The sequence below is a fragment of the Homo sapiens genome, chromosome 22, assembly GCF_000001405.40.
Source record: "Homo sapiens chromosome 22, GRCh38.p14 Primary Assembly".
NCBI lineage: Eukaryota > Metazoa > Chordata > Mammalia > Primates > Hominidae > Homo > Homo sapiens.
This window is the reverse complement of record NC_000022.11, coordinates 40893631-40911721: the sequence shown is the minus strand read 5'-3', so window position 1 is coordinate 40911721 and position 18091 is coordinate 40893631. Positions and strand designations below refer to the sequence as shown.

At 43.1% G+C, this 18091-nt stretch overlaps 1 protein-coding gene across 1 annotated transcript in view; it reads right to left on the bottom strand.

Moving 5' to 3' along the window:
- The window catches only part of XPNPEP3 (X-prolyl aminopeptidase 3), a 75668-nt gene that overhangs the window by 21094 nt on the left and 36483 nt on the right, over window positions 1-18091 (bottom strand). Inside the window, exons 5-6 of the mRNA NM_022098.4 lie at window positions 4073-4135; window positions 2487-2600 (exon numbers count right to left, since the gene is read on the bottom strand). Coding sequence (NP_071381.1) covers window positions 2487-2600; window positions 4073-4135 — 177 coding nt within the window. The remainder of the gene's footprint in view (window positions 1-2486; window positions 2601-4072; window positions 4136-18091) is intronic.

The window sequence follows — 18091 nt, the reverse complement described above, 5'->3', positions numbered from 1 at the left end:
CTAAAAATACAAAAATAGCCAGGCATGGTGGGCGCCTGTAATCCCACCTACTCAGGAGGCTGAGGAAGGAGAATCGCTTGAACCTGGGAGGTAGAGGGAGGTTGCAGTGAGCCGAGACTGTACTACTGCACTCCAGTTTGGGTGACAAGAGTGAAACTCCATCTGAAAAAAAAAAAAAAGCAAGAAGAAAGAAAATGCCTCAATATAGGAGAGATACTGAATGAGGAGTTTAAAAGTGCACGAAGGAAAATATCAGGCCCAAAGAGTTCTACACGTGTTTACCAAATTTTCAAGAAACATTAATTCAAGTCATTCCATAATACTAAGAATGAGACTATTAATTTTTCTGAGCTTAGTTTGACCTTGATATGAAAACCAGAAAAAGACAGCATAAGAAAGAAATTATATAGACCAAACTCACTCGTGAACACAGATCTGAATATCCTAAACTAAGTATTATTAAGTTGAAATGAATAGTGCTAAAGATAAGAAATGATGCTCAATTTCATTGGTAATTAAGGTAATAAAAATTAAGAGCACAAAGAGATGCTATGTTGTACCAAGTAGAATGCAGAAATTAAGAGGTCTGATAATACCAGGGGATGGAGAGGATGTGGCTGACAGAATTGCACACTGCTAGTGAAGTATAAACAGATACAAATAGTCAGGAAAGGTTTATATTATCATATATATTTTTATTTGTTATTTATTTTTTGAGACGGAGTCTCGCTCTGTCACCAGGCTGGAGTACAGTGGCGCGATCTCGGCTCATTGCAACCTCCGACTCCCTGGTTCAAGTGATTTTCCTGCCTCAGCCTCCTGAGTAGCTGGGATTACAGGCACACGCCACCACACCCAGCTAATTTTTTTTTGTATTTTTAGTAGAGACGGGGTTTCACCATGTTGACCAGGATGGTCTCGAACTCCTGACCTCATGATTCACCCACCTCGGCCTCCCAAAGTGCTGGGATTACAGGTGTGAGCCACTGTGCCTGGCCTATATTTTATTTTTTTTAAAGACAGGGTCTTGCTCTGTTGCCCAGGCTGCAATGCAGTGGTGTGATCACAGCTCACTGCAACCTTGAACTCCCCAGGCTCAGATGATCCTTCCCACCTTAGCCTCCCAAGTAATGGACTAGAGGCATGTACCATCACGCCTGGTTCATTTTTGTATTTTTTTGTAGAGATAGGGTTTTGCTATGTTGCCCAGGCCAGTCTTGAACTCCTGCATTCAAGGGATCTGCCCACCTTGACCTCCCCAAGTGCTGGGATTACAGATTTGAGCCACCTCACCCAGCCTATGATATTTAGGAGTTAAAAAAAATCCCTCCAAACTACATACAGAGCATACAATTTGTATAGAGTTTATAAACAAGCAGTAGCTAATTAATACTGTTTGGGGAGTCACATATATGTAATACAACTATTTCTTAAAAGTCAAGGGAAAGACAAAATTCAGGTTACCAGTTACCTTTGGGAGGGAGGAAGTGGGATGGGACAGCATAAGGGTAGGTGTGTTGTATTGCTACTGTTCTAGCTCTAAAATCGACTGCTTGGTTCATGGGTATTCGTTTTTATTTTTGTTTTTTTTTTTAATTATGCTGTATAATTTACATGTTTGCTATATTTTTTTCTTTTGGATTTACTGAATACTAAATCAGTAAAGAAATGGACTTAATAAAGGAATACACAATTCCTTCCTTGTATAGTCACATGGGAAGAAAATCATAGAAGATATGTTCCCTCACAGCTAACAGCAATTTCTTAAAATCTTTCTGCCCAGGAAATCTGCTTGGCTCACTGTTGTTGCCGCAAGTCCTCAGAGAAGTAGAGTTATAATGAAATGAGCAGAGGCTTTAGAGTAGAATACTTGGCTCTGCACTAATATGTTGTTTTAGGTTTTTAAATATTTAAATATTTAAATATTTATTTATTTATTTATTTATTTAGAGACAGAGTCTTGCTCCATAGCCCAGGCTGGAGCACTGGAGTGCGGTTGTGTGATCTCGGCTCACTACAACTTATGCCTCCCGGGCTCAAGCAATTCTCCTGCCTCAGCCTCCAGAGTAGCTGGGATTACAAGCACGTGCCACCACGCCTGGCTAATTTTTGTATTTTTAGTAGAGACATGGTTTCACCATGTTGGCCAGGCTGGTCTCGAACCCCTGACCTCAAGCGATTCACCCGCCTTGGCCTCTCAAAGTGCTAGGATTACAGGCCTGAGCTACCATGCCTGGCCTATGTTGTTTTATTTTTTGAAATTCGTTTTCCTCATCTATTAAAGAGGCATGTTAATAATTCCTCCTAACAGAGTTAATTTAAGGACAAAATGAGATAATGTCTGTAAAACCATTTTATAAGCAATAAAATACTTTTAAAATGTCAGCTAATTTGTGAAAGCTGAAGGTGAGAGGACATGAGGTTAGCAGGTTTTCTACTAGGCTATCTGGACCTAGTGGGAGTAGCACTGAGGGCATCTCACGTACCTTGATGAGTTGATTATTTTTCACATAGTGCAAAGTGTTTGACCGATTACCACCAGCCACCACAGGTGGATAGGCTAAAATGTCTGCGCCACGAGCCCGGCATTCAAATTCAAACTGTGAAAAACAACAGCAAGGTATGACAAAGGGTTTCTGTAGGGCTGCCCCAGCCCAAGCTCTCTTCAACAGCCCATACCTCCATACCAGTACTTATCTTAAGTCATTACTGGGAAGCTATTCATCATATCTAACCAAACCTTTTATGCTGTAATTTCAGTCCATTTCTTTTATTCTCACCCCGTGTACTATAATCTATGTAAGTATACTTTTTTATTCCCACAAATCCTGTTATTTCAACCCTATTATTAAATCTGTTCTTTTTTCTTTAGTGTTCTCTAAATTTCTTATAATTTTCAAATTAAGTCTAGAAGATAGAAAACTATGATGAAGGCTGAGCCTTGAAATACTATCATGTAAGGGTTACTATTTGTTTATTCTTATTTAGCTAAACACTGAAATGTGACTTACATTTTTAACAACAGCTCTAAATTACTAATTCCAATCTTTCAAATAGCTACAAATCTAAATGCTCTGGAAAAGTGAAAAAGGATGCTAGGAAAATTGCAGTCCTACTAATTTCACTACGTTCCAGGATACAGGATGGAGCTGGAGGTTGGTGAGTATCTGCTACTATCTACAGCACTTTCTCAACCTCTATTTTTTGAGACATGGTATTGCTGTCACCCAGGCTGGAGTGCAGTGGGGCAATCATAGTTCACTATAGCCTGAACCTTCCAGGCTCAAGCCATCCACCCACCTCAACCTCCAGAGTAACTGGACTACAGGTGTGCTACCATGCCCAACTAATTTTTTTTTATTTTTATAGTGATGAGGTCTCAGTATGTTGCCCAGGCTGGTCTCAAACTCCTGGGCTCACGTGATCCTCCCATCTCAGCCTTCCAAAGTAATGGAATTACAGGCATGTGCCAGCACGCCTGGCCTCAGCCTCTTTTTTTTTTTTTGAAACAGTCTTGCTCTGTTGCCCAGGCTAGAGTGCAGTGCAGTGGCATGATCTTGGCTCACTGCAAACTGTGCCTCCCAGGTTTAAGTGATTCTCGTGTCTCAGCCACTTGAATAGCTGGGATTACAGGCATACGTTACCACACTCAGCTAATTTTTGTATTTTTAGTAGAGATGGGGTTTTGCCACGTTGGCCAGGCTGGTCTCAAACTCCTGGCCTGAAGTGATCTGCCCGCCTTGGCCTCCCACACTGCTGGGATTACAGGCATGAGCTCCACGCCCAGCCCTCAGCCTCTTCTTCACATTGACCTAAACAGTATTACTTTTGTCACCTCACATTGCTAAATCTTCCCTTCATCATCATCTGTGCTACTTTGCAATTTTCTTCCTTTAATTGTAACGTAGTATATTTTAGACTTATAAATGACCAGTGATATTTCAGAACCAAATCCTCTCCAATGACATGCTGGTCATCACTATCACAAAAGCAGACTGCACTGCCATTTCTGCAAATCAAATTATTATATTCACCTCCAACAAGATGGTGAAGCTAACCATCTGAATCTCACCTTAGCATAAAGAAAGGCTTCTTCCACAGGGGCTTTACTGGTGAACATGGTTTCTATGAAAGCCTGCAAAGAGAAAGGAGGATGAAAAGAACACGATCTCATTCTATGTTGCTTACTCAAACATTCAAAATACTGGAGCTCAAATGAAAAGCACCTTTTCCCACAATTTCGTCAGCCTGAAGTTGTGACCTACTGGGGGTAATAATACAGTTTTTTTTGTTTTTTTTTTGAGACGGAGTCTCGCTCTGTTGCCCAGGCTGGAGTGCAGTGGCGCGATCTCGGCTCACTGCAAGCTCTGCCTCCTGGGTTCACGCCATTCTCCTGCCTCAGCCTCTCGAGTAGCTGGGACTACAGGCGCCCGCCACCACACCCGGCTAATTTTTTGTATTTTTAGTAGAGTCGGGGTTTCACTGTGTTAGCCAGGATGGTCTCGATCTCCTGACCTCGTGATCCGCCTACCTTGGCCTCCCAAAGTGATGGGAATACAGGCGTGAGCCACCGTGCCGGGCCAATAATACGGATTTCTGAAAGGAAAACATTTTGCTTTGACTTGAATGTGTCCCCTCCAAAATTCACGTTGCAATTTAATCCCCATTGGGGTGACAGTAAGAAGTGAGGCCTTTTGGGTAGTGATTAAATCACGAGGGCTCTGCCCTCATAGATGGGATAAGTGACCATAATGGGGCTTGGTGGAGTGAGTTTGGCCCCTCTTGATTTTCTGTCTCTTCTGCCATATGAGGATACCTAGAGGGTGCCCCCTATCAGGAATTTCCCTTCACCAGACACTGAATCTGCTGGCACCTTGACCTTGGACTTCCCAGCCTCCAGAACTATGAGGAAATACATTTCTATTGCTTATAAATTATCCAATCTCAGGTACTTTGTAATAGCAGGACAAACATACTAAGATATACATTTGTTATTTATGTAACAAAATACCTCAATAGCCCCATGTATGAAATTATGGATTGAATGGCCTAGTCTATAGCAACGTTTCCCAGCCTCAGTACTACTGACATTTGGGGCCAGATAATTCCTCGTGGGAGAGCTGTCCTGTTCAATGTAGGATGCCAGAAGCATTCCCAATTGTGACAACAGGACACTACCAAAATGCTCCCTAGGGGACAACACTGCTCTCCCACTGAGAATCACTGACCTACAGTATAAGTAATTTTATTAATTCTCTGTGATAACCACACTATATGTGTGTGCATTTTTTTTTTTTTTTTGAGACAGAGTCTCACTCCATCCCACAGGCTGGAGTGCAGTGGAGTGATCAGAACTCACTGCAGCCTCAAACTCCTGGGCTCAAGTGATCCTCCCGCCTTAGCCTCCTAAGTAGCTGGGACTACAGATGCATGCCACCATGCCCAGCTAATTTTTAAATTTTTCATAATTTTTAATGTTTTCAGCCTCCCAGGGTGGCTCACACCTGTAACCCAGCACTTCAGGACGCTGAGATGAGAGGATCGCTTGAGCTCAGGAGCTCGAGACCAGCCTGGGCAACATAGTGAGACACTATCTCTCTAAAAACAAACAAACAAACAAACAAACAAACAGGCTGGGTGCGTTGGCTCAAGCCTGTAATCTCAGCACTTTGGGAGGCTGAGGTGGACAGATCATGAGGTCAAGAGTTTGAGTCCAGTCTATCCAACATAGGGAAACCCCATCTCTACTAAAAATACAAAAAATCAGCTGGGTATGGTGGTGTGCACCTGTAATCCCAGCTACTCAGGAGGCTGGGACAGGAGAATCACGTGAACTGGGAGGCAGAGGTTGCAGTGAGCCGAGATCGTGCCACTGCACTACAGCCTGGGCCACAGTGCGAGACTCTGTCTAAAAAAAAAAGAAAACATGAAAACATTTCATAGTATGAGGTTGAACGGCATTGCCAAAATGCCCAAAAGAGTAAAAGCAAGTGGTGCAATGGTGGGAATATTTACATGGTTTGCTCCCTTTCTTCATTCAAATCTTTCCTCAAATGTTTCCTCCTCATAGAGGCCCTTCCCGACTATCCCATCTAAATTAGCACCTTCCATCACATTTCATCCCCCTTCACTGCTTCACTTTTCTTCATAGCATTTAATTCCAGATGACTTCATGTCTTGTTTGCTTACTGTCTCTCCTCCACCAGAATGTAACTGTGAAGAGTGAGCATGGATAGTCTATTGTGCTCACTAATGTATCCTCAGAACCCAGAGCAGTGCCTGGCACACAGTTGGTGTTCAGTAAATATCTGCTGGATAATGAACAATTAAAATCAATTAAAGGGGCCGGGTGTGGTGGCTCATGCCTGTGATCCCAGCACTTCAGGCGGCCGAGGCGGTGGTTCACGAGGTGGAGAGATCAAGATCATCCTGGCTAACACAGTGAAACACGGTCTCTACTAAAAATACAAAAAAATTAGCTGGGCGTGGTGGTACGCGCCTGTGGTCCTAGTTACTCGGGAGGCTGAGGCAGGAGAATTGCTTGAACCTGGGAGATAGTGGTTGCAGTGAGCCGAGATTATGCCACTGCACTCCAGCCTGGGTGACAAGAGTGAGACTCTATCTCAAAAAAAAAATTAAAAAAAAAAAAATTAAATGGCTGAGTGTGGTGGCTCACGCCTGTAATCCCACTTTGGGAGGCTGAGGCAGGTAGATCACTTGTGGCCAGGAGTTCGAGACCAGCCTGGCCAACATGGTGAAATCCTGCTGTCTCCACTAAAAATACAAAAAATTTGCTGGGCATAGTGGTGGGCACCTGTAATCCCAGCTGCTCAGGAGGCTGAAGTAGAAGAATCACTTGTACCCGGAAGGTGGAGGTGGCAGTGAGCTGAGATCGTGCCACTGCACTCCAGCCTGGGTACCACGGCAAGACTCCATCTCAAAAAAAATAAAAAAATTAAAAAATCAATTAAAGGACACTTGCACACACAATCACAAATGTTGACAAATAACTTATTCAGCACTATATTTTTAGCATGAAACCTAAAACATATGGCAGTCCTAGTGGCTTCATTCACTCAAAAGAGGGATTTGTCTTTTTATTAATTTTGCTTTGAACCCTTATTGCCTGGCATAGATAATTGTTGTCATGGCTTAAAAAAATTTTTTTTTTAAGAGATGGGGTCTTGCTATGTTGCCCACACTGGAGGGCAGTGGCTATTCACAGGCACAATCATGGTGCACTACTGTCTTGAACTCCTGGGCTCAAGCGATCCTTCTGCTTCAGCCTCCTGAGTAGCTGGGACTGTAGGTGCACACCATTGTGCCAGGACAGTCATGACTCTTTCAAACTGTTATGCAGACTCAACAGGATACAAAAGTTCCTCCTCCTTCCTAGGTGATCAAATGCCTAATCTTGCTTTACTTCTTTTTGTAAGGAATGTGCCTCCTATGAGTCAATTTCTTTACAGAGCATTCCAGGTACACATGATATGCAGTTCAAATGCTACCTATCCTTACTATATGCTTGATGTCCTTCCAGTAAAGATCAAGAGTTAGACTTTATGATTGGCACTTCTTAGGACTGTCTTGTCACAACATAGCCCATACTCCCAATAAAGACTTAACACTCTTACTTCACTAAGTGCTACCTGAATGTTTGTATTTTGACTGTTAAAAAATGTAAAATGGGCTTTCTTTGCATTTCACCCTGCATCTCATAATCAGAACACATTACAAATGAACACTGTAAAGCTAATGGAGAAGGGAGAGTAGAGAGAAAAAGCATTTCACAAACCATTTCATGAAACTTGTGTGTGTGTGTGTGTGTGTGTGTGTGTGTGTGTGTGACAGAGAGAGAGATGGGGGGAGGGATCCCTTAACATTGTCCCATGGATCTTTTCTTAGCTTCCTTATTTTAAAAATCAATGATTTGAGACTGGGCACAGTGGCTCACACCTGTAATCCCAGCACTTTGGGAAGCTGAGGCAGGTAGATAACGAGGTGAGGAGTTCAAGACCTGCTTGGCCAAAATGGTGAAAACCTGTCTCTACTAAAAATACAAAAATTAGCCGGGCATGGTGGCGGGCACCTGTAATTCCAGCTACTTGGGAGGCTGAGGCAGAGAATTGCTTGAACCCGGGAGGCGGAGGTTGCAGTGAGCCTAGATCGCACCACTGCACTCCAGCCTGGGCGACAGAGTAAGATTCCATCTTAAAAAAAAAAAAAAATCAATGACTTGAAGGAAGACACAGATGTACGTCCATCACACTTGTTTAAGTATTAAGTAGTCTTTGCTGGTCTGGCTGGGGCTAGCAGTGAACACTGTACTTGAAGGATATTAACAAACTAGACAGCACACAGAAGAGGGTTACCAAAATGAGGGGAAATATAACATATGAGGAATGGTTAAGGAAAACAGAACGTTTAACTTTGGAAGACTAAAGGTAGAATATAGAGAAGCAGGCCTGAAATGTTTGTGTGCTATTATGCTGTGAGGCTTAATTCCAGCAGGTCTGAAATTAGCCTGAGCTGTTCTGCTAAAGTTCCTGTATGACACTGATTTGGGCCACGGCCTGAAGCATACTGATAAACAGTGTTGCAGGGAGTTTCAGAGCAGTTTGTATCAGCTTGTCAGTACTGGTAACAGATCAATGCTTTGTACTGGGTCTCCATGAGCTCGTCAGAGGGCTTTACCATTATGTAGCAGGGATATGCCTATGTGACCAAAATAAAAAATCCTAAGTGAGATTCCATTTTAGGCTCTTGGGTTCTGAGGTGTTCTGGGCATTCATCACTGGTTCCTGGTCTGTGAGAGAACCACCAAGCCCTTACGTAGGGAGAAAAACAGAGGAGTCTGCACCTGGCTTCTCCAGACTCCTTGCTGTGAGACAGCCACAGGCTGTGATACATATCTTTAACTTTAATGCAGTTGCTATATGAAACCTTTTTCCTGTAATGACTGTGTATTTGCAAGCACTATCTCTAGGTCTTCTTTAACAATTGAACTCTATTTAACTGCCACTTAGAAGTAGGAGTGTTGCCCAGGCCTGGTGGCTCACGCCTGTAATCCCAACACTTTGGGAGGCCGAGGCAGGCGGATCACGAGGTCAGGAGTTTGAAACCAGCCTGACCAACATGGTGAAACCCCGTCTCTGCTAAAAATACAAAAATTGGCTGGGTGTGGTGGCTCATGCCTGTAATCCCAGCACTTTGGGAGGCCGAGGTGGGCGGATCACGAGGTCAGGAGATCGAGACCATCCTGGCTAACATGGTGAAACCCCATCTCTACTAAAAATACAAAAAAATTAGCTGGGCGTGTGGCAGGCGCCTGTAGTCCCAGCTACTTGGGAGGCTGAGGCAGGAGAATGGCGTGAACCCGGGAGGTGGAGCTTGCAGTAAGCCAAGATCGCGCCACTGCACTCCAGCCTCGGCGACAGAGCGAGACTCCACCTCAAAAAAAAAAAAAAAAAAAAAATTAGCCAGGCATGGTGGCAGGCGCCTGTAATACCAGCTACTTGGGAGGCTGAGGCAGGAGGCAGGAGAATCGCTTGAACCTGGGAGGCGGAGGTTGCAGTGAGCCGAGATCACGCCACCACACTCCAGCCTGGGCGACAGAGCGAGACTCCATCTCAAAAAAAAAAAAAAAAAAAGAAGGAAAAGTAAGGAATGTTTAGAAGACACCTAATTCATTCTTGATTTTTTACTGAGATAAAATTCACATCATATAAATTAACCAACAAAATGAACAACCCAGTGACATTTAGTACATTCACAATGTTTTGCAACCACCACCTCTCTCTAGTTCCCAAACATTTTCATCACCAGAAAAGAAAATCCCTTACCCATTAAGCAGTTAATTCCCATTCTCCTCTCACCCTATTCCCTGATATCCTCTAATCTGCTTTTTGTCTCTACGGGTTTACCTATTCCGCATATTTCATATAAATGGAGTCATATAGCCGGGCGCAGTGGCTCACGCCTGTAGTCCCAGCACTTTGGTGGGTGGATTGCTTGAGTCCAGCAGTTCGAAACCAGCCTTGGCAACATGGTGAAACCCAGTCTTCACAAAAAATACAAAAATTAGCCAGGCGTGGTAGCGCAAGTAGCTCCGCCTCTCAAGTAGCTGGGCCTACAGGCATGAGCCACTGTCCCTGGCCTGTTGTTGAACTGTAAGAGTTCTTTAAATAGGCCCGGCGTGGTGGCTCACGCCTGTAATTCCAGCACTTTGGGAGGCTGAGGCGGGTGGATCACCTGAGTTCGGGAGTTAGAGACCAGCCTGACCAACATGGAGAAACCCCATCTCTACTAAATATACAAAAATTAGCCGGGCGTGGTGGTGCATGCCTGTATTCCCAGCTACTTGGGAGGCTGAGGCAAGAGAATTGCTTGAACCTGGGAGGTGGAGGTTGCGGTGAGCAGAGATTGGGCCATTGCACTCCAGCCTGGGTGAGAGAAGAGTGAAACTCCATCTCAAAAAAAAAAAAAGTTCTTTAAATATTCTAGATACTAGAACCTTATCAGATATATGATTTGCAAATATTTTCTCTCATTCCGTTTTTTCACTTTCTTGATAGTGTCCTTTTAAACAATTTTTTAAAGTTTTTTATTTTAAATTCTTTTTTTTTAATAAAAAGAGAGGAGGTCTCACTATGTTGCCCAGGCTGCTCTTGAACTCCTGAGTTCAACTGATCTTCCTTGCCTTGGCCTCCCAAAATGCAAGGATTACAGGTATGAGCCACCACACCCATTCCCTTTGTTTTTTATTATTTTTTAAGATCATTATTGTTTTGAGACAGGGTCTCACTCTGTTACCCAAGCTGAAGTGCAGTGCTGTGATCTTGGCTCACTGAAGCCTCTGCCACCCAGGCTCTGGTGATCCTCCCACCTCAGCCTCGTGAGTAGCTGAAATTACAGGAACATGCCACCACACCCAGCTAACTTATTTTTGTATTTTTCATAGAGATGGGGTTTTGCCATGTTGCCCAGGCTGGTCTCAAATTCCTGGGCTCAAAAGATCCATCCACCTTGGCCTCTCAAAGTGTTGGGATTACAGGCATGAGCCACTGCACTTAGCCTTTTAATTTATTCTTAAATTAAGTTTAATTATTTTTTTTTTGAGACAGAGTCTTGCTCTGTTGCCCAGGCTGGAATGCAGTGGTGCGATCTCGGTTCATGACAACCTCCACCTACCAGGTTCAAGCAATTCTCCTGCCTCAGCCTCCCCAGTAGCTGGGATTACAGGCACCCGCCACCATGCCTGGCTAATTTTTTGTATTTTTAATAGAGACGGGGTTTCACTATGTTGGCCAGGCTGGTCTTGAACTCCTGACTTCAGGTGATCCACCGGCCTCAGCCTCCCAAAGTACTGGGATTATAGGCGTGGGTCACCGTACCCGGCCTTTTTTTTTTTTTTTCCTAAGGCTGTTTCTCAGTGTGAGAAAAGTACCCTTTGATGTAGAGAAGTTTTAAACATTGATAAATTCTAATTTATCTACTTTTTCTTTTGTTGCCTGTGCTTTCGGTATCATCTTTAAGAATCCTTTGGCAAATCTAAGGTCATGAAGATTCACCCTTATGTTTTTTCCTAATAGTTTTATAATTTGAGCTCTTAAGTTTAGGTCACTGATCCATTTTATTTATGTATTTATTTAATTTGTGAGATAGAGTCTTGCTCTGTTGCCCAGGCTGGAATGCAGTGGTGTAATCTTGGCTCACTGCAATCTCCGCCTCCTAGGTTCAAGTGATTCTCCTATCACCACAGTGCAGCCTGGGAACAAAGGGAGACTGCCTCCCGAGTATTCGGGATTACAGGCATATGCCACCACACCTGGCTAATTAAGTTAATTTTTAGATAAGGTGTGAAGTAGGGGTACAACTTCATTCCTTTTTTTTTTTTTTTTTTTTGAGATAGAGTCTCGCTCTGTCACCAGGCTGGAGTGCAGTAGCGTGATCTCCGCTCACTGCAACCTCCACCTCCCAGGTTCAAGCAATTCTCCTGTCTCAGCCTCCCAAGTAGCTGGGATTACAGGCGCCCACCACCACATCCAGCTAATTTTTGTATTTTTAGTAGAGATGAGGTATCACCATGTTGGCCAGGATGGTCTTATCTCTTGACCTCGTGATCCACCTACCTTGGCCTCCCAAAATGCTGGGATTACAGGTGTGAGCCACTGTGCCCGGGCACAACTTCATTCTTTTGCATATGGATATCCATCTGTCCCAGCAGAACTGACTCATTTTTAAAAAAATTCATCCTTGGTTTGATATGGCACATGCTTTGAAATCATGGAATGTGGAAATGATAGACCCTGAACTTCACGAGCTAGCAAAATGGATTGGGAGGGAATTCTGAATCGCTGGTAGGTCTGCTAAATATTCAATAGTTTGGTTAGTGCCTTCAGTGCTGGCTGAAAGTAAGCTCAGAATCTCTTTTAGATGAGCTTCTTTTTGATCAACAGATGGAGCTCTAACCCAAAGAAACTGGGCTACTATCATTTTTTTGATGAGTCAGCTGAGACCAACCACAGCTAAAATAATTCGAGTGGCAAGTTGACAGCGATGGGTAAAAAACCATGGACATAAGGGGCTATTCAGTGAAGAAAATGAGCCATTTTCTAGACTATTACATGCAATACCCTGAGGAACTCTTTAAAAATGGTTCCTGAGAATTTTAGATCAAAGAACAGTATCTCTCATTTTGAATATTGCTGAGTGAGAAAGGTTTGCAGGGAAACCCCTAGTTTATTAAAATGGATGAAGGGAGGGGCCTATCATATGTATCTAGATATGGGCAACTGTCCTGCCCCTCCCTCATCACATAGTCAGTGCCTCCTGAAGCTACAGAAATGCTGTGGATGCAGACAGTACGGTTCTGGTTGTATGAGGACATAAATGAACTCCATTATGGGATACCCCTCACCCAGGTTATGAATGATACTGTGATAAAAGGCATCCACCAGCATGAACTTCATATGTGACTTTGCTGTTAGATCTCAGGAAGATGTAAAAAGGCAGTTTAAGATCTTTTATCCCAACTTCCTGGATAATAAAAAGATAGTAAGTTTAGGACTTTATAAAAGAAATAAAATCAAGAAAGAAATGGGGCATGAAAAAGAATAAGGTTAGACCCTTAGTTTATACCATATATAAATATTAACTCAAAATGGGTCGGCCGGGCGCGGTGGCTCACGCCTGTAATCCCAGCACTTTGGGAGGCCGAGGCGGGTGGATCATGAGGTCAGGAGATCAAGACCATCCTGGCTAACAAGGTGAAACCCCGTCTCTACTAAAAATACAAAAAATTAGCCGGGCGCGGTGGCGGGCGCCTGTAGTCCCAGCTACTCGGGAGGCTGAGGCAGGAGAATGGCGTGAACCCGGGAAGCGGAGCTTGCAGTGAGCCGAGATTGCGCCACTGCAGTCCGCAGTCCGACCTGGGCGACAGAGCGAGACTCCGTCTCAAAAAAAAAAAAAAAAAAAAAAAAAAAAAAAAAAAAAAATGGGTCAAAGACCTAAACATAAAACATAAAACTCTTAGAAGAAAACATAGGGGAATACCTTTATGACACTGGATTTGGTAATATTTTCTTGGATATGACACCAAAAGCACAGTTAACAACAACAAAAAAACTGGACTTTATAAAAATTAAAACATTTTGAGCATTAAAGGACGCTATGAATAGTAAAAAGCCAACCCTCATAATGGGAGAATATTTGCAAACCATATACCGGATTAAGAGTTAATATCAAAAACATATAAGGAATTCCCACAACTCAACAACAAAAAAATCCAGCCCAATTTAAAAAATGGGCAAAGGAACTGAACAGGTATTTCTCCAAATAAGATATACAAATAACCAATAAACACATGAAAATATGCTGAACATCACTAGCTGTTAATGAAATGCAAATAAAAACTATGAGATGTCATTTCACACTCATTAAGATGGCTAGTACTCAAAAGGCAGAAAATAACAAGTATCGATTGGCAAGAATGTAGAAAAACTGGAACCCTTGTGCATTGCTGGTAGAAATGTGAAATGGTCCATTTGCTGTGGAAAACTATATGGTGGTTTCTCAAAAAATTAAATGTATAATCAGGAGGCTGAGGTGGGAAGATCACATGAGCCCAGGAGTTCGAGGCTGCAGGGAGCTAAGATGGTGCTGCTGCACTCCAGCCTGGGAACAAATGGAGACTCTGTCTCAAAAAAAGAAAAAAAAAAACAACACAGACTCACCACAGATCTAACAATTCTACTTCTGGGTATATACCCCAAAGAACTGAAAGCAGGGACCTGAATAATTATTTGTAAACCCAGGTACATAGCAGCATTAGTCACCATAGCCCAAAAGATGGAAACAACCCAAGTGTCCAATGACAGATGAAAAGATGAAGGAGGCCGGGCACGGTGGATTACGCCTGTTATCCCAGCACTTTGGGAGGCCGAGGTGGGCAGATCACGAGGTCAGGAGATCGAGACCATCCTGGCTAACACAGTGAAACCCCATCTCTACTAAAAATACAAAAAAATTAGCCGGGCGTGATGGCGGGTGCCTGTAGTCCCAGCTACTCAGGAGGCTGAGGCAGGAGAATGGCGTGAACCCGGCGGAGCCTGCAGTGAGCCGAGATTGCGCCACTGCACTCCAGCCTGGGCAACAGCGAAACTCCGTCTCAAAAAAAAAAAAAAAAAAAAAAGATGAAGGAAACATTGTCTATACATACAATGGAATACCATTCAGCCATAGAGGAATGTCATTCTGAAAAATGCTACAACATGAACTTTGAAAACATTTTACTAAGTGAAGTAAGCCAGTTACAAAAAGACAAATACTGTATGATTCTACTTATATGAAGTAATTAGAATAGGCAGAGTCACAGAAAAAGTAAAAGTTACCAGGGGCTGGGAGGAGGGAAGAATGGGAAGTTATTATTTATTGAGTACAATTTCTATTTGGGATGATAAAAAAGTCTGAAAAAAGATAGTAGTAATAGTCACACACAGTGTGAATATACCTAATGTCATTGAATTTCTATTTTAGCCATTTTTAAGACATACACTTAAAAATGGCTAAAATGGTAAATTTTTTTTTTTTTGCAGAGTCTCTCTCGGTTGCCTAGTCTGGAGTGCAATAGCATGATCTCGGCTCACTGCAACCTCCACCTCCCAAGTTGCTGGGATTACAGGCATGTGTCCCACGCCCGGCTAATTTTCTATATTTTTAGTAGAGACGGGGTTTCGCCTTGTTGCCCAGGCTGGTCTCAAACTCCTGGCCTCAAGTGATTCGCCTGCCTCAGCCTCCCAGAGTGCTGGGATTGCAGGCATGCGCCACCGTGCTAGGCCTAAAATGATAAAATTTTATATGCATCTCACCACGATTAAATAAAAAACACACAGAGGCCAGGCATGGTGGCTCTTGCCTGTAATCCCAGCACTTTGGGAGGCCGAGGTGGGCAGAGTGCTCGAGCTCAGGAGCTCACACGGCCAACATGGTGAAACCCTGTTTCTCCAAAAATAATGATACAAAAATTGACAGAGGGCCAACCCTGATAGAATTTTACAGGAAGGTTTGGGATCCACAACTGCCTGTCATTAAACTCCTCAGACTATAAAAATCCCAAGGCAGATATGTTTATTATCTGAGTTTAAAGGAATTTTAGAAAGAGAAAGGTTCCAATGAGTCTCTAACATTAGATGTCAAAATGCTGTGTTTTAATATCAGCATGGTAAGAGATGAAGAACGTTGATATATAGGCCAGGATCTCATAATCCCAACTCCTGGCAGGGAACACAAGACCTTTCACAAATGTGTGAGTAAAATGGCCTGGAGGTGGAAAAGAAACTCTTTTACATCTACTGGATGGAGTAAGACAGTGTACGATACTGTCTGGGCCTCTTAATGAAGAACTTAAGAATGACAGAATTAACTCATGGGATGTGGGGATGCTGCTGTGAAAGGGATAAAAAGTCTGGTTAGAAGTCTGTGTAGCTCAGTTGGTCAAGCATCAGATTTTTAATGTGAGAGTCCAGGGTTCAAGTCTATAATTCAATTTTTTTTAAAAGTTATAAATTTTTTAATTTAAAAAAGTCTGGGCCGGGTGCGGTGGCTCATGCCTGTAATCCCAGTACTTTGGGAGGCTGAGGTGGGTGGATCACCTGAGGTCAGCAGTTCAAGATTAGCCTGGGCAACATGGTGAAACCCTGTCTCTACTAAAAATACAAAAATAAGCCGGGCGTGCTGGTGGGCGTCTGTAATCCCAGCTACTTGGGAGGCTGAGGCAGAGAATCACTTGAACCCGGGAAGCAGAGGTTGCAGTGAGCCGAGATCGCGCCATTGCACTCCAGCCTGGGCGACAGATCAAAACTCTGCCTCAAAAAAAAAAAGAAAAGAAAAGCACTAATCTCTATTAAAAAGAAAAAAAGAAATGCATTTCAATAAGATGGACAATGTCCAAAGAAGTTCTGTCATAAAATGGAAATGAACTATATGCAGCATGCTACCAGGGGATCTATGTGAAAGAATCATCAGATTCATGAGCAAGTAGTCTTTTCCTCCTAGGATCCCTCCTTTCAATTATTTGCCCATGGATGCCAGGCAATTGGACTGGTTCACAGATGACTGTTCTAGAACTGAGGGCAATTCTGTATGAAAAGTAGATGTTCAGAGTCCAGCAGAAAGTAAAATCCTATGGAAAAAGTTAAGAACGAGTTGGTCAACAGGGCTGAATTATAGGCTATAATCATAGTCCTGATAGAAGAACTGGACACAAAAGCCCTATTATTTGGGTAAATATTGATTCTTGGGCTGTCACTAATGGACTTGCAATTGGTCTAACAAGTGGGTCACAAATAACTGGACAATAGAAGGGCCCTCCATGTGAGGAGCTGCTCTTTGGAAATCTCTATGAAAATTCTAAGGGAAAAATCAAAGTAGGGCATGCTGATCCCAAAGAAACTCTATGCCAGAATTTTAAGGTGATTGGAACCAACAGTTGATGGCCTAACTTGATCTCTTGAAATGGCAACCAAGTCTATGAAATGGGTGGAGGAACTCAAGCCAGCCAGTGACGCACTGAACAATGACATATACCAGTGGGCTCCATTGAAGCTTAAACTATTAATAAAAATTGTCCTGGCTGCCAACAGTATAGTGTCATTTTCTGTATTTATCCAATTTATCTCCCTATGATTAGACTAGCTCAATAGCTGACCGAGGAAGTTTCCTTCAGCGGGAAAGGTTTGCATTCAAATTAATATAAAGGCATTTGCTTGACTGCAGTAACCACTGTATTATGCATACGTATATCAAAATATGTTGTACACTTTATACATAAATAAAAAAATTTAAAAAATGATTAAGAAAGGCAAGGTTGTTGCTAAGGGGAAAGAAGTCAATAAATGAGTGGTACAGAAGCTCAACAGATGCTTCTGGAGTCTCAAGAGATGCTTAAAGCAAGAGAATAATATTCTCTCTTTGCTTTAACTCAGATACCCCTTGGAGTAAAGAACTTATGAAATCCCCTTTCTTAAGAAACGGAGTCTTGCTGTGTTGCCTGTGAGTGCAGTGGCTACTCACAGAAATGATCATAGCAGCACCTGTATCATAGTCTACTATAGCTTCTAACTCCTGGCCTCAAGCGATCCTCCTGCCCTCAGCCTCCTGGGTAGTTGGGACTACTGGCATCATCACCATGTCTGGCGTTCTCCTCCTCTTTTGAAGAGCCAAAAAGAGAGCTAGGCAATAGCCAGTCTAACAAGCACACTTCCAGGAGTGACATATGTCCTCAAAATGGATGAAGAAATGGGACAGCTGCTGGGTGCAGTGGCTTACACCTGTAATCCCAGAACTTTGGGAGGCCGAGGTGGGCAGATCACCTGAGGTTGGGAGTTCTAGATCAGCCTGACCAATATGGAGAAACCTCGTCTCTACTAAAAATACAAAATTAGCCAGGCGTAGTGGCACATGCCTGTAATCCCAGCTATCTGGGAGGCAGAGGCAGGAGAATCACCTGAACCTGGGAGGTGGAGGTTGTGGTGAGCTGAGATCATGCCATTGCACTCCAGCCAGGGCAACAAGAGTGAAACTCCATCTCAAA